The 14,065-nt window shown below is 43.1% G+C and overlaps 1 protein-coding gene and 1 pseudogene across 6 annotated transcripts in view, besides 2 other annotated features; one reads left to right on the top strand and one right to left on the bottom strand.

Annotated features, from left to right (window-relative positions):
* The window catches only part of HMGA2 (high mobility group AT-hook 2), a 141,832-nt gene extending 134,632 nt beyond the window's left edge, over positions 1-7,200 (bottom strand). For 4 of the 5 annotated variants that reach the window (NM_001300918.1, NM_001300919.1, NM_003484.1 and 1 more), the window contains exons 1-2: positions 6,279-7,200; positions 3,573-3,659 (exon numbers count right to left, since the gene is read on the bottom strand). In NM_001300918.1, coding sequence (NP_001287847.1) covers positions 3,573-3,659; positions 6,279-6,389 — 198 coding nt within the window. In that variant the 5' untranslated portion in view covers positions 6,390-7,200. The remainder of the gene's footprint in view (positions 1-3,572; positions 3,660-6,278) is intronic. The other variant, NM_003483.6, reaches the window with a different exon arrangement.
* The window catches only part of RPSAP52 (ribosomal protein SA pseudogene 52), a 68,955-nt pseudogene continuing 59,575 nt past the window's right edge, over positions 4,686-14,065 (top strand). The window contains exon 1 of the transcript NR_026825.2: positions 4,686-4,817. The product of NR_026825.2 is annotated as a ribosomal protein SA pseudogene 52 (transcript). The remainder of the gene's footprint in view (positions 4,818-14,065) is intronic.
* Positions 5,450-6,057: an enhancer, noted in NCBI's record as "H3K27ac hESC enhancer chr12:66219383-66219990 (GRCh37/hg19 assembly coordinates)". NCBI's record gives its function as "activates a minimal SCP1, AML or CMV promoter by ChIP-STARR-seq in naive H9 embryonic stem cells {active_cell/tissue: H9 hESC(naive)}" and the evidence as "EXISTENCE:reporter gene assay evidence [ECO:0000049][PMID:30033119]".
* Positions 13,537-13,831: a silencer, noted in NCBI's record as "tiled region #869; K562 Repressive non-DNase unmatched - State 22:ReprW". NCBI's record gives its function as "represses a minimal TATA promoter and a strong SV40 promoter by Sharpr-MPRA in K562 cells {active_cell/tissue: K562}" and the evidence as "EXISTENCE:reporter gene assay evidence [ECO:0000049][PMID:27701403]".

Genomic DNA, 14,065 nt, shown 5'->3' with positions numbered 1-14,065 from the left:
GGCCTTCTTTTTATAGCAAATCAAACATAGAGATTAAACATTTACTCTGAACACATTATTTTAACTATAACTACTTTATCTAGATATTTTCATTCTGCACTTTGCTTCCTAGATCTGTCCATTACACCTAAAGTCAAAAGGGTGGTGAACAAATATATGACATGATGAAGTAGGGTTATCTCACACCTGAGATCTTTTTTTTTTATTTTCATTTTCCTTCCAATAAAATTTAATTCAACCTCAGAAAAAAACTTCCTAAAATATGTGAATGAGAATTGGCTTAAAACTTAAAGGTGAATTTGACCTGAGACCTTCAACACTGAAGAATTAGTGACAACCCCTCCAGTATTCTGTCATGATTAAAAAAGTACAACAAAACCCTAAACTAAAGGAGATTATAACTTCTTTCTCTCTAACCATCTGGGAACTGTAAAAATGCAAAGATTTCCATCCACCACAACCAGGAAAGCAAAGCAAAGCAAAACAAAACAAAAAAGGAAGTTAAGACATAACTGGTCATAGGTGTACCTCAGACTAAAAAATAAATAAAAGGGTAAAGATATGCTCACACAGACGTATACACACATGGACAAATGAATTATTCAGGAAAACTTTAACTTCTGATTTCTTTTATTCAGGTAACTATATGAAACTGATTCAGGGACAAATTTTGAGCACTCAGATTGGAGTTCTGAGGAATGACTAGAATCATTACACAATGGTCATGCATAGTAATTAGTTTTAATGGAATATTAAGTAGATTGAAGAATAATTATCTTCTCTTCCAAAAGTTCCAAGCATAGGAAATTGTGTTCTTATAAATGTCTTTGTTTTACATATTATATAAATCAATTTTCTACTGAATATGGTTTGAAATTGAAGTGATGGCTAATTTAGTAGTCATTCACTTGGTCTTGCAACATTCTGCATGCATTGTCCAGTTTCACACTGTTAATTTTCAAATCAACAGCTTTGTTTTCAAATGTCCCAAGGCCAATTACTGAATCCAAATATAAACTTTGTAAGTCAAGAAACTCCAAGCAGCAAGAAATTTTAAGTATATAACCATCAGGATTTCAGTGTGCATTGCAGCTCCTCTAATTTTAGGCTTCTTTCTTCTCATATACTTACCAGTCTTTGCAATGTATTTTGCATTGTGATGGGTCTCAGTTTACAGGAAAACACTCACTTTGTTACTCATAGAAGACTTCTCATATCTATTCTGGTCAGTCTCACAGGGTATGTTTATCTTACATGTTATGAACAATATAACTTTTTCTAAAAAGATTTGCATTGCAAAATCCTGACGAACATATATGTTTTGTTAGAACACAATATATGCTTAATAAACAAATGTTTGAAAATCATATTTATATAGAATAGTAACATACTCAACAAATTCTGATTTGAAAGTGAAAATACCTTAAGTTTACACATGCCATGAACGATTCATCAATGTCATTCATTATTTTGCAAGGTATTCTCTTCTCCAGATGAAGCGTAATTTATAAAACTGAAGAAAAATAAGTCATGTTATGGGCAAATGTATTTATTCATTTTTATTACAAGAGGGATTTTTATAACACCATTGTAGGAAATAATTGTGTCTGAAAGAATGAAAGATTCTGGAGAAGGAATCTTTAGAAAAAAGAAAGCCTACTTCTGTTTTGGAAATTGGAATAATGTATGCATACACATGAAGAATTTTCAGAAAGATGAGCGGCGTAGGGGGGTCATTTACAAATGCCTGTCACTAGAGTCACTAAAAATAAATCAACCCTTACTTAGGAATAGATCAACTTTAAAAATTTTGCTTTAGGTGGTAAACTAGGCACTAGCTTCAGCTTCCCTTTTCTCAATACAAATTTTGTTAGTCAGTGGTAAGCTTTTTAAAATGAAGCGGAGGCGATGGGAGCGTTTCTATCTATTCATCCAAAAAACATGAAATATAGTAAAATATGGGAGACAATTCATTTTCCTTTTTAGTATTAAATTTCAAATTACTTATTTATGGTGAAATTTAAAGATTTCTTCCTAGGAGATATTATCATGATGTGTTTTTCAGAGGAATTATACCACAGCTTAAATGCGTGTCAGCTATCTAACAAGATATTCATTTGTGCATCTCCTTAGAATAAAAGTAAATTAGGTAAACTCCACACTTACACAACATAGAAAAACTCCTTGGTAAAATCAGTCCATTTTAGTTAATTTATAAATGAGATAAAATGAAACAAATGTAAAGTATTCATATTAAAAATACCAGATTATATATTGCCATTTTTAAATAACAAGGTTACTTAGAGCTATTTTAAAGTTTATTGATTAAATAAGAAACAATTAAATCTAAACTCTAAGAAGCAATTAAATTTAAATATATTAAAAATATGCTCCTCAACTCTGTTCAAAACTGTTAAAACAGACAAGAACTCAGAGTAACTTCCTAAATAACTTTATATGTACCATTAGTTGCTATGGCAGTTTACATACATTACAGTTAGTACCCACAGTCACAAAGAAAATCACACAAAACATTAATCCCCAAACGATGAGCATATAGTCCTTTCTAACAAATACTGTACATGGAGTACCCAAAACCGGTGAAAAGGTATATCCAAATTTAGTTCTGATTTTTGAAACTTTGTTCTCAATTACTACACAAACCTACAAATACAACGCAGAAACTTTTTTTTCCAATTTATTTATAAAGTCAAAAAAGTGACTGGTACTTCTCTATACATGCATTAACCCTGACATAGTTCCTCTTTGCTAGCTTAAACACAGCCAACCTGAAGTTATCTTAAACTGCAAGTTTAAACTTATTAAGATAAACACTGAATATTACACTTAACTGGGTTCCATTCTGCCCAAAAAGAGATATTAAATGAGCCAAATACTTGTTTTAAAAAGTCTCATTGTCCAATTCAGACATTTCTATGTCACTTGATGAAAAGGCATTTTGAGATTATGATATACTATACTGCAGGTTTATTGTAAAACAAACAGTATACTTTATTATCACAATTAAAGCTGCAAAATTCATGGAATTTTTCCACTATCCCACAACTAGATTTACTTCTAATTATCGTCTATTTGGCAAAGTACTTTAATAGGGGGATTTGGTTTGCAGTAGCCATGTAATAAGCACAAAGTAAATCAATCTTTATCATTTTTCAGAGGAAATTGCAAAAACTTTACCACCAGGCAAAATCTATAGTTTTGATTTGTTTTTAACTATTTACAACTGGTGCAAATATTAATTGTGTCATTTTCATCCCGCCCCCCCCGCAACCCCTTCCTTCCTCACTTCTACCCGTTTTAAGGTTCAAATTATTTGGTGGCTGTTTGTTTAAAAACAACACTGTTAAGTATCTTCATAAACTTTTTATGCTGAGCATCTGCTTACAAAAAAGGTTAACTCGCATCTAACTAATGTTAAATGTAAGAAATGAGTCTTGTGTTACCCAGTTGGGACAAATTCCTGGCTGCGGAGTTAGAATGGGAAAGTTACAGGCAGGCTCCTGTAGTCAGTCATTGATGAAGTTAGGAGAGCTTGACTTGAGAAATCTCACCTTTTGAGCTGCTTTAGAGGGACTCTTGTTTTTGCTGCCTTTGGGTCTTCCCCTGGGTCTCTTAGGAGAGGGCTCACCGGTTGGTTCCTAATTGTGAGGGAAAAAAAAATGCTGTTGTGGCAAGAATGTCTGAAAGAAATTGACCCTGACTCTTTAGCTATATTTTCTGCATGTGCTGCTCAAAAGAGCTGTTGGAACACGTTCAGTTCAAGCATAAATGGATGATGATGGTACAGAGTTTACAGAAAGGGGAAATAACTATACTTTTAATGCAAGGGTTCAAAGAGGAAACTCTATTTTGTATATGAAAACTAGATTCTACTTCAAACCTAAAATGGTAACAAAGACTGAAGAGGCATGTTCTAGAAAGAAAGTCATATACTTTTAAGGTGTAAAGTTTACAGGGCTATGCATTTGGCAACTCATAGGAATAATAGGCATTTTAAACGAACACCACTCTGCATTATACTAGCATTTCAAACAACAGAAATACGAAGCTACCATCACAGATATTTCAACAATCTTCCATATTGAAAAGGTGGCCTTTAATCATCTTTGTATACCTGCCTTCTAGGTGGATTATGATTCAACTGACACATTTTGAGTGAAATACTGGAGCAATTATTCAAGTTCTTCAGTTCAAAATAACTCCATTCCCCCTAAAATTTCCAAATAATTATAGTAAATCTATGGTGGGAGGTTTTGCTTGAATCATCTAGTTAATTGCTTCAATTCTCCACTTCCTTTTGGAGATGCAGGCATGGCCTCCAGTCTAAATTTAAATATCTTTTGATAAAAATAAACATATTTTCTTCAAAACTTTCTTTTGAGAAAACTCTTATGGGGGTGGAGTGGAGAAAACTAAAAGGAGGTAAAAGCGAGGAGGAATGGAGTGTCTGGGAATGAGAAATGGAAGCAATCACTTGGTTTAGCAAAACTTTAAATGGCTCCTATGCCAAGTAGTAAATACTCAAGTGGTTAAGAGAATGCGATGATTAATATTCCAGATCCCAAATATTTATCCAGTGAATCATCTATTCACATTTCATTCAGATTCGGTGATTAAGTGAGACTAATTAACTTAAAACCCATGAACGTCCTCAATGAAAATTCGCATCCCATTTAGAGAATTCGGGAAGGTTCCCTGCAAGCTTCTGTGGGACCACTAGCACCAGTGGGCACATCGAGAGCAAACACATCGGAGACAAATTTTTCTTTCTTTGTGAACTCTGCCTTAACTCAAAGGTAAAGTATCCAATCACCTCCAGACCCCATTGTAATTTCTTTTGGATTTTTTTTTTTTTTTTGGAGGGGGGGCAATTAGTGAGTTAGAACTGGGTGGCGGGTGGGAAACAAGTGGGGGAGGGCAGAGACTTCCTGGGAGGTGTAAAACAGGATTCAAATGCGGTGTAAAGTGTCGCTTGGGCAGAGCGGGAAAACTCAGGGGCCTCTAGATCGGCTTGTTTCCTTTGATGATTTCAAAAAGGTACAACTCTCAATTTTTCTAAAATGCACTGGCAAGCAAACATTGTTCAGTTTCCCCACCTTGCTCTCGGACAACTTTGGGACTCTAGGATTATTTTCTAATCGGCGTGTTTGCCATGAAGGAAGCGATTTAAGACTAAGCAGAGAGCAAGTTTTAAAGCCCGAGAAAGTGGAGTTTAAATGTTCTCAATAGACATATCCCGCTCCAACTCTGCCCGCCGCGGCTTGGAAATTACAGCGAACAAAACCCCCAGCCCTGCGCGCTGAGCGCAGCTCTGCAAGCGCCGGCTGCACGCTTAATTGGTTGCATCCGCAGACAAAACCCTCCACTCCGCAGGGTCCCGGGCGCCCCTCGATCGTCCCCTACTCAACCCCCGGCCACTGGCCTTGGAGAAGAGCATTTAATGGCTGCAGCTCTGAGGCGCGAGATCCAGGGGCAAAAGGGGGACCGGGCCCCTGACAAGGAAGCGACCCTGGCTACCCTGCACTCTCTTGGACACTCCTTTCAACGCGCCCTTAGCTGGGCGAGTTAACCCCGTCCTGCGGGGAACCAGGCTCCCCGTAGCCCCTGCCCCGGGCTCCCTCCGGCGGCCGCCGCATATTTAAAGAGCCCAAAAAGGACCAGGCAGCCGGGTCTCCATGCGTTCTTTGTCGGGAGGGCGCGAGTCTTGGGCCACCGAGAGCTTGGAGGAGGGCGCCAAGGGGGCGGCTGCGGCGCGCCAGCCCCCGACCCGCGAGCAGCCCCGGGAGGCGGGAGAAAGAGCCTCCGGCCCCCAAGACTCTAGCCCCTTCAGCCCAGATCGGCCGAAGCGCCCGGGTCCCCGGCACCTCCTTCCTCCCGGGCAGTTGCAAAAGCAACTCGGAAAGCGCCTGCGAGCCCGGGTTTGTCGGATCCCGGTCGCTTCCAGTCACTGGGCGACACCGCGCCACTCGGGGCCGTGCACAATAGCGAAAGTCCGAGGACGCGCTTCGCCCGACCCCACCTCCCGCCTTCCCCGGGCCGCCCGCCGCGGCTCCCCACCTCCCCGCCCGGAGGGTTGCTGGCGCCCCGGGGCCGCGCGGCGCACTCGTGGGGTCTGCGCCGCTCCCCCCGGCCGGCCGGCGGGCAGTGTGCGACGGCCGCGGCGACTGGGCTCCCGCACTCCGGCCGCCCCGCGCGTGTCTGGGCCCCGGCAGTGGGGACGGGGTGGGCTGGTGCCCCCACCGCGCCCTCGTACTGACTTGCTGCTGCTTCCTGGGGCGGCCGCGTCCTCTCTTCTGAGGCGCTGGGGCGGCAGGTTGTCCCTGGGCTGAAGTGGACGGCTGCCCCGCGCCCTCACCGCGTGCGCTCATCCTGCCTCCCGCCGCCGCTACCGCCGCTGCAGCCGCTTCGCCTCGACCGCCCCGGAGCTGCCCAGCACCTTTCGGGAGATGAGGTGATAGGGCTGGGGACGCCGGCGGGGCGAGCGCGAGCTGGCGGGCTGCGAGGGCTGCTGTTGCTTAGGCTGCCGCCGCTGCCACCATCAACACCGGACGTCCAGCGGCTGCCAAAAAGAGAAGAGGGGAGGAGGAGGAGGAGAGGAGGAGGCGCTGCCGGTGGCGGCGGCGGCGGTGGGTGGGTGCCGGAGGTGGAGGTGGCGGTGGAGGTGGAGGTAGCAAGAGGAGGAGGGAAGCGAGGGAGAAGGAAGAGAGGCTTTGAGGTCGCAGAGGCTCCTCTCGCGGGTTGGGATCAGGAGTTGCGGGCACCGGGAGCACTTCGGAAGCGGCTTGGAAAGGGAAGAGACTTGGAGTGAATTGTGTCCCTTGAAATGTTAGGCGGGGAAAGAATTCCTCCTCCTCTTCCCCCCACCCTGCGAGAGAGAGAGAGAGAGAGAGAGAGAGAGAGAGAGAGAGAGAGAGAGAGAGAGAGAAGAGATTGAGATTGAAAGTGCCTTGGGCAGTCGGAAAGCAAAGGAGGATGGGGAGACTCCGCCGGGATAGGGTCGGGCACGGAGCACAGGCAGAGGACAGAGTAGTGGGTGGCACCGCGCCTCCTAGGGTGGCGGGAGCAGGCAGCGGCGGCACCGGAGAGTCGGAGGGGGACGGGCTGCTAGCTCCTGAGTCTTGCACCAAGCGCGCGCTGCCCGGGCTGGAAGTTTTCTGAGTTCCTGCCCCAAGATTCAAGTGGGATGAGTGTGTGTGAGTGTGTGTGAGTGTGAGTGTGTGTGGTGTGTGTGCGTGCACGCGCTTGCGCTTGGGGAGGGGGTGGTGGTGGGGGGAGTGCCCACCTCTAATCGTGGGCGGATAAAGGGGAGGGGGTTGCGCAGGAAGAAAAGTATGAGGAGGAGGGAGGCCAGGCGGACCGCCGAGCCAAGGCGCCTGGCTGCTAGCCAGAGGCAGCGTTCGAAATACAACTGCCTCGGCGGCGGCGGCGCCCGGGTGCCACCCGGAGCCCCGCTCACGTGCTCCCGCCCGGCGGCGGGGTTAAAGGGACAGGCCGGGGATCCCGGGCTGGCTCGCCGTGGGCCTAGCTCCACCCGCCTCTCGAGGTCACCCCTGGGCAGTTGTCCTGGGAAGGCGCGGGAACGTGACTGTCCCGGAGCCACGTTTCGGGGCTTGGCCTTTACCTGCGCCTCTACCGTGCCGAGCCAACACTTTGCAGGAAGCGTCTAGGCTGCACCTCAGGCAGCGCACCGGTTCACTGTGAGTGGGAAGGGACTGCAGTGGAGTGGGAGAGGTCCCCTGACAGCCGTACTCCGCCTCGGAATGCCCTCACCACAGAGCCTGCGGGCGGGCGAGCGCGCACATACACGGAGACATGCATGCAGATACACACGAACACGCGTGTAAGCACATGCACGCAGATACACGTGGACACGGGGGCATTCATGCGCTGGTAAACACCCGCATTTACACACACACACATACACACAGGCACGCAGATAGACATGCACATTCGCAGACACATGCAAACAATGTGCACACACAGAGCGCCCCAGCTTCTTCATTGAACTTTTTTCTCCAGGAAAGACTAGAGGCAACCGAAGTTCCCTCCCCATCCCCCTCCCCGGGAATCCGATGTTCCCAGGGTAAAGGGCACCTTGTAGATTCCTAACACCACAATTGCACTCACTGCCCAACTCTCCCTTCAGTTTACCTCGATTTAACCTTCTGCCTGAGAACTCTCTTTCTGCCAAGTCCTAATTTTATGGCCTGGGCTGTTCTGAGTTATGTGAACACCATAATGGCCACAGTCCGTTTTTAAAAGGTGGAGTACATTTTTAAATGTACCTCTTTTCATCCTTGAATAACACAAAACTCTGAAAAAATTAGGTTCAGATTTTCACACATCACACCCAAAATTATTTTGGACTAATTCCAAAATAAAAACTTTCACCTGGGGAAGAATTTATTTTTTTCAAAGATACAGACCACCGTGGAATAAAAACGCCTACTTTGCAGCCCTAAGCAGGAGTTAGGCACCGCCAGGTTCCGCTGTGCATGTGGAGGAGGCGCGTGTAAATGTCTGCTTTGGCGCGGCAGCGCTGATTGGTCCGCGTTGCCATTTTAAATCCATTTCCAGCTGCCCTTTGCAGAGCTGGGACACTTTGCTGCACGTTGAGTGCTCTGCAGGAACCCAGGGTTTCTGCTGGGTCTGGGAACGCTTAGCTGTAATGGAGAGAGAGAGCCTCCATCCCTCCGGATGGAGCCCAGCAGCTGACTGGGGAGGGAGGGGTCTAACAGGAACCAAAGGTTTTCTGTCAGGGCTTGGCTCAAAGATGGTATCTTCATCAAAGGGATTGAAGTTTCACCTAACGATTACAGTGACATTTCCTAACTGCCAATCGTGCACATTTAAAAACTATCACATATTTGCACTGTGGTGTGCACATTTCACATACACGTACAAAATAGGTTTTTGGGTTTGTGTTGTTTGCTCACTTTTTGCCAGGAGTAGAGAGAAATTCTGAAGGTGAATGCAGGGGAGTCACTGAGGAGTTCAGCCAGCCAGTTTTGTGCTGTATACCTCATTATATCCTAGGATTTTTTTTTTTTTGGTAACGTGTACAGAGGTCAGCAAAGAGCAGATTCCAAAATTTTGTTTTTGCGTTAATCTTTGAATATAAGAGAAGCACAGAAAAATTGGGGGTGGGGGAATATACAGCCACTTGTTTTCAGGCTGCTATCATTTTGCTATTAGACTATTTGACCCCTTTTGAATTTATAACAAGGGTATAAAACAAATATTGTATCAAGTTCTACTTAAATCAATTTTATATATTTTCATTCTTTGGAAGCTGTATTTAATTTTTCAGAATTCTGTATACTTTCTGTAGGTGAAACATTAAAATTTGTTGTAATCTTTGAAATTATTGAGACTTTTACTATTCAAAAAGGATTCTCATATATTTTTAAAATAATGTTAAATGGTTAGATTTTATTTTTAAGGAAAGGAATTTTTTTTTTACATTTACATCTGAGGGTTTTTCCCCCAGTTTATGTTTCTCAACCATTCACTGCCTCTTCTTTATCACACCATATTTTACCCATGTATTCAAGGCTCAATTCTTCTTTCCAATTTGAAAACTTTCCAGGTAGTTTCTGTCCATATTCAATTGTGTCTTTTCTTCTTCTGCACCCACCATAGAATTAAGCAATTAGCACCTTGGTTGTATATGTTAACAAGGTTTTTAATTATCTGTGACACATGATGTAGATTAGTGTTTAGATCAGGTCAGCCCATTAGTGGGTGGTAAAATTAATTTAGCAAACCCATAACATCATTTAAAAAATAAGTAGACTAGGATTGAGAATATCACATGTAAAATTTCTGTCTTAGATATATAGTACATATGTATGAAAACTATTAAGATATATTGTATTTTCATCTTTAACATCTTGGAATTTGGGATGTATCTTAGAATTCAAGGTGTCTTAGCACTATGTTATCACATACTAGGTAGTGTCTTTTCTATTTTGGTGGTATACATGCTGCTATGGTTTGGCTCTGTCTCCACCCAAAACTCATCTTGAATTGTAGTTCCCATAATCCCTACGTATGGTGGGAGGGACACGGTGGGAGGTCATTGAGTCATGGGGGTGGTTCTCCCATGCTATTCTCATGATAGTGAGTAAGTGTTCACAAGATCTGATGGTTTTATAATGGGCTCCCCTCTTTACTCAGCTCTCATACTTCTCCTTCCTACTGCATTGTGAAGAAGGTGTCTTGCTTCCTTTTTGCCTACTGCCATGATTGTAAGTTTCCTGAGGCCTCCCCAGCCATGCAGAACAGTGAATCAATTAAACCTCTTTCCTTTCTAAATTACCCAATCTCGGGTATTTCTTCATAGCAGTGTGAGAATAGATTAATACACATGCTTATATGTAAATTTTATGTATATTCCCAGAAGACAGGTAGCATTTCAAGCACCTCTTTTTTTTTTTTTTTTTTTTTGCACTAGTCTTGTCTAGGTAGTGTTCTGTTCATGATAGACTTCTGGTAGTTATTAATTTATTACAACAACGAAGGTATCTATAATAAATTTACTATTTTAAAGAACATGCCATACAGGATGAGAAAAGCGTTAGATATACTAAAATACCTTTGGCATTCTTTTAACGAAAGAAAGATGCATCTGTGACAAGGAGATTTAAGTTCTCATATTGCACTTTATCAATGACATATTGACACCTTAATACATTCACAAATTAAAAAGAATTATTTAAGGATTTACTCAGATTATAACTGATTAATCATGAATATATTTCATGTGTAATTAAATGCAGATTTATTATAATCAGGTATTTTGGAATTGAATCTATATAAGGTCACAGAAAAAAATTATAACTAATATTGATCGAACAGAATGCATAGCACTCGTGTGTGTGTATGTAAATAGAAGTTTAGTAAAGTACAATGTAAACACATAGGCTAGGTGAAGTGGCTCATGCCTGTAATCCTAGCACTCTGGGAGGCCGAGGTGGGAGGATCACTTGAAGCCAGGAGTTCGAGACCAGCCTGGGCAACATAGTGGGACCCTGTTTCTTCAAAAAATAAAAAAATTAGCCAGGCATGGTGATGTGCACCTATAGTCTCAGCTACTCGAGAGGCTAAGGTGAGAGGATCACTTGAGCCCAAGAGGTCGCAACTACAGTGAGCAATGATGGTACCACTGTACTTCAGCCTGGGTGACAGAGTGAGACCCTGTCTCAAAACACACACACACACACACACACACACAACAAAACAAAGCAAAATAAACACATAATCTGGCCTTCAGAGCTTTGCATTCTACTTTGGCTGAAAAACATTTCATGTGTTTTAATATAAGGTCATTCGCACTGCTCAAACCCACAATTTAGAAATTATGTCTTTAATAATTTATTATTTAATCATAATTGTGGGCCGGGCGCAGTGGCTCACGCCTGTAATCCCAGCACTTTGGGAGGCCGAGGCGGGTGGATCCCGAGGTCAGGAGATCGAGACCATCCTGTCTAACACGGTGAAACCCTGTCTCTACTAAAAATACAAAAACGTGGTGGGCACCTGTAGTCCCAGCTAGTTCGGAGGCTGAGGCAGGAGAACGGTGTGAACCCGGGAGGTGGAGTTTGCAGTAAGCCGAGATCGCGCCACTGCACTCTAGCCTGGGTGACAGAGCAAGACTCCATCTCAAAAAGAAAATAATAATAATAATAATAATAATTGTGTCTTTAATGCTTAATAGTTAATGAAATGTAGGAGAGATTATCTCTAAGAGTTTCCCTACAGTATCATCAAGAACAAATATATGCTGCTAAATTAGTTTTGGGGTTTTAAATTCTTTCAGATAGGCTTCCTAGTCCTGTAGTCAGAGGATCACCAAACAAAATAAATTTGTCCACTCATTCATTCAAGAAACATATGTTGAGTTGAGTTGATTTTGCAGAAATCTCACCTGTTATTCTCTCAGGACTCAGAAATGTAATTCATCTAAAACTAGAGAGAATCTCTATTAACACAATTAGGTCTTCATTTAAAATCTATTTACTTATCACATTAAGTCTTCCAGTACTCTCCTCTGTCCAATCCATCATTCATTCAGCCCTATTTATTGAGCACTTAATACATGCTGGGATTCACAGAACATTCCTTTCAACAAAAGTCATGGAACCAGAACAGAAGTGGAGGAGTTTCATGTCTGCCTTTCATCTATTGACATTGTATTATCAGCCCCAAGCAATCTCGGTCTCCATATATTATCAAGCAGCTTTGGGTAGCAGGAAGAACATGGGCTTTGAAATCAGATTTAGGGACAGGAGGTGTAGTAGGCAGAATGGCATCCAAGATCTTCTGCCTCGAGGTGTACATGAGTACATAATCACTGGCTGGGCTTCACTCCTGTGACTAGGTTGTATTACCTGACATACTGGCCTTAAAACAGGGAAATTATCCAGAGGAGTCATACCAAATGTGTGTTTAAAGCAGAGAGTTTCCTCTGGCTCAAGAAGGATTTGACTCATACCATAGCTTTTTGAAGATGGAGGACATGGGTGGCAAGGAATGTGAGTGGTTTCTAGGAGCTGATGGCAGCCCAGACCAACATCTAACAAAGAAATAAGGACCTCTGTTCTCCAATCACAAGGAACTGAATTCTACCAACAACAAGAACAAGCTTGAAAGTGGAGTCTTCCCCAGAGCCTTCAGACAATAGCACAGGCAGGCCGACACCTTGATTTCAGCCTTATGATCCCTGAGTAGGAACCCCAGCTACCCCATACCTGGCTTCTGACTCACAAAACTGTGAGCTATTAAATGGGTATTTTAACCATATTTTAAGTCATTAAGTTTGTGGTAATTTGTTATGCAGCCATTGAAAACTAATACAGGAGGGAATCTAGTTAAATAAACTTCCTCTCCTTTCACCATCCGTGAAATGTCACCAAGCTCCAAAGCACAATGACTTTATCTAGAATTTATCTGGAAATGCCCCACGTGGTCGCATCACTCCTACCAAGCCACCTGCCCTGTCTCTTTGCGGTAATTGGGTAGTAGTGACCAGCATCATCTTGAATTGCTTTCCATCCTTCCCTGCCTTTTTTTTCGTTTTTCCTTACTTTCACTGCCTTGAGTGTGTACTTCTCAAATAAAGCATAAGGATTAATCCTTACCCAAGACTCTTGTTTGCTCAGGAACCAGACTAAGGCACCCAGAAATTCAAACTCAGTGTCTGTGAAACTGAATTGATCATCTGTGGTGGTTTAAGAACATGTTTGTAAATTCTTCAACATTCTTCCCACAAAGGGTGAAATCTAATTTCCACTCTTCTTAAACGTGGGTCAATTTTACTAACATGCTTGTAATAAATAAAAGGCAGTAGAAATCATGCTGCATCATTTTGGAGACTAGATACCACAAGGCTACAAACACAGATAATACAATTGCTGCCTTGATCTCAATCTCTCCCCGTGCCTCCTCCTGCCACCTTGGAATTCCTGAATGTGAGAAGCTTAGCTGCCTTGAAGCCACCATGCTGGAGAGACCTTGGGCAGAGGCCACACAGAGATAGAAATGCCAAGGAGCCCTTGCTGTGACAGGTCTCAAACATTTATCTTCCCATCAGCTGCCTGATAAGTGAGTGCATGAACATTCAGATAATTCCAGGCCCCCACCCCCAACTGCCTTTAAGCCACCCCAAGCAGATGTGAAGCAGAACAAAGAGGAGAGACCCCTGCTGAGCTCTGACCCAAGTGCAGATTTAGGAGTAAAACACATGTTGTGTTAGTTCTTCATTCACTAGGTTTTTGGGTGAATTGTTACATAGCCATAGAAACTGGCCCATAATTTTTTCCCCAAAACGATTTTCTTTTCTTACCAATCATTCTTATCCAGGAATCGCACTTAGCTAGGAATCAATCTAGATCCTTCTCTTTCCACATCAAATGATCACCAAGTCCCTCTAATTCTGCCTTCTAAATATTTCTTGACTCTACTTCCCACCCCACTGTCACTGCCTTAGTTAGGGCTCCCTCCCCTTCTCTTTTGGATTACTTCACTATCTTTCTCCATGGTC

The sequence above is a fragment of the Homo sapiens genome, chromosome 12 (genome assembly GCF_000001405.40).
Source record: "Homo sapiens chromosome 12, GRCh38.p14 Primary Assembly".
NCBI lineage: Eukaryota > Metazoa > Chordata > Mammalia > Primates > Hominidae > Homo > Homo sapiens.
This window is presented reverse-complemented; position numbering and strand designations above follow the sequence as displayed.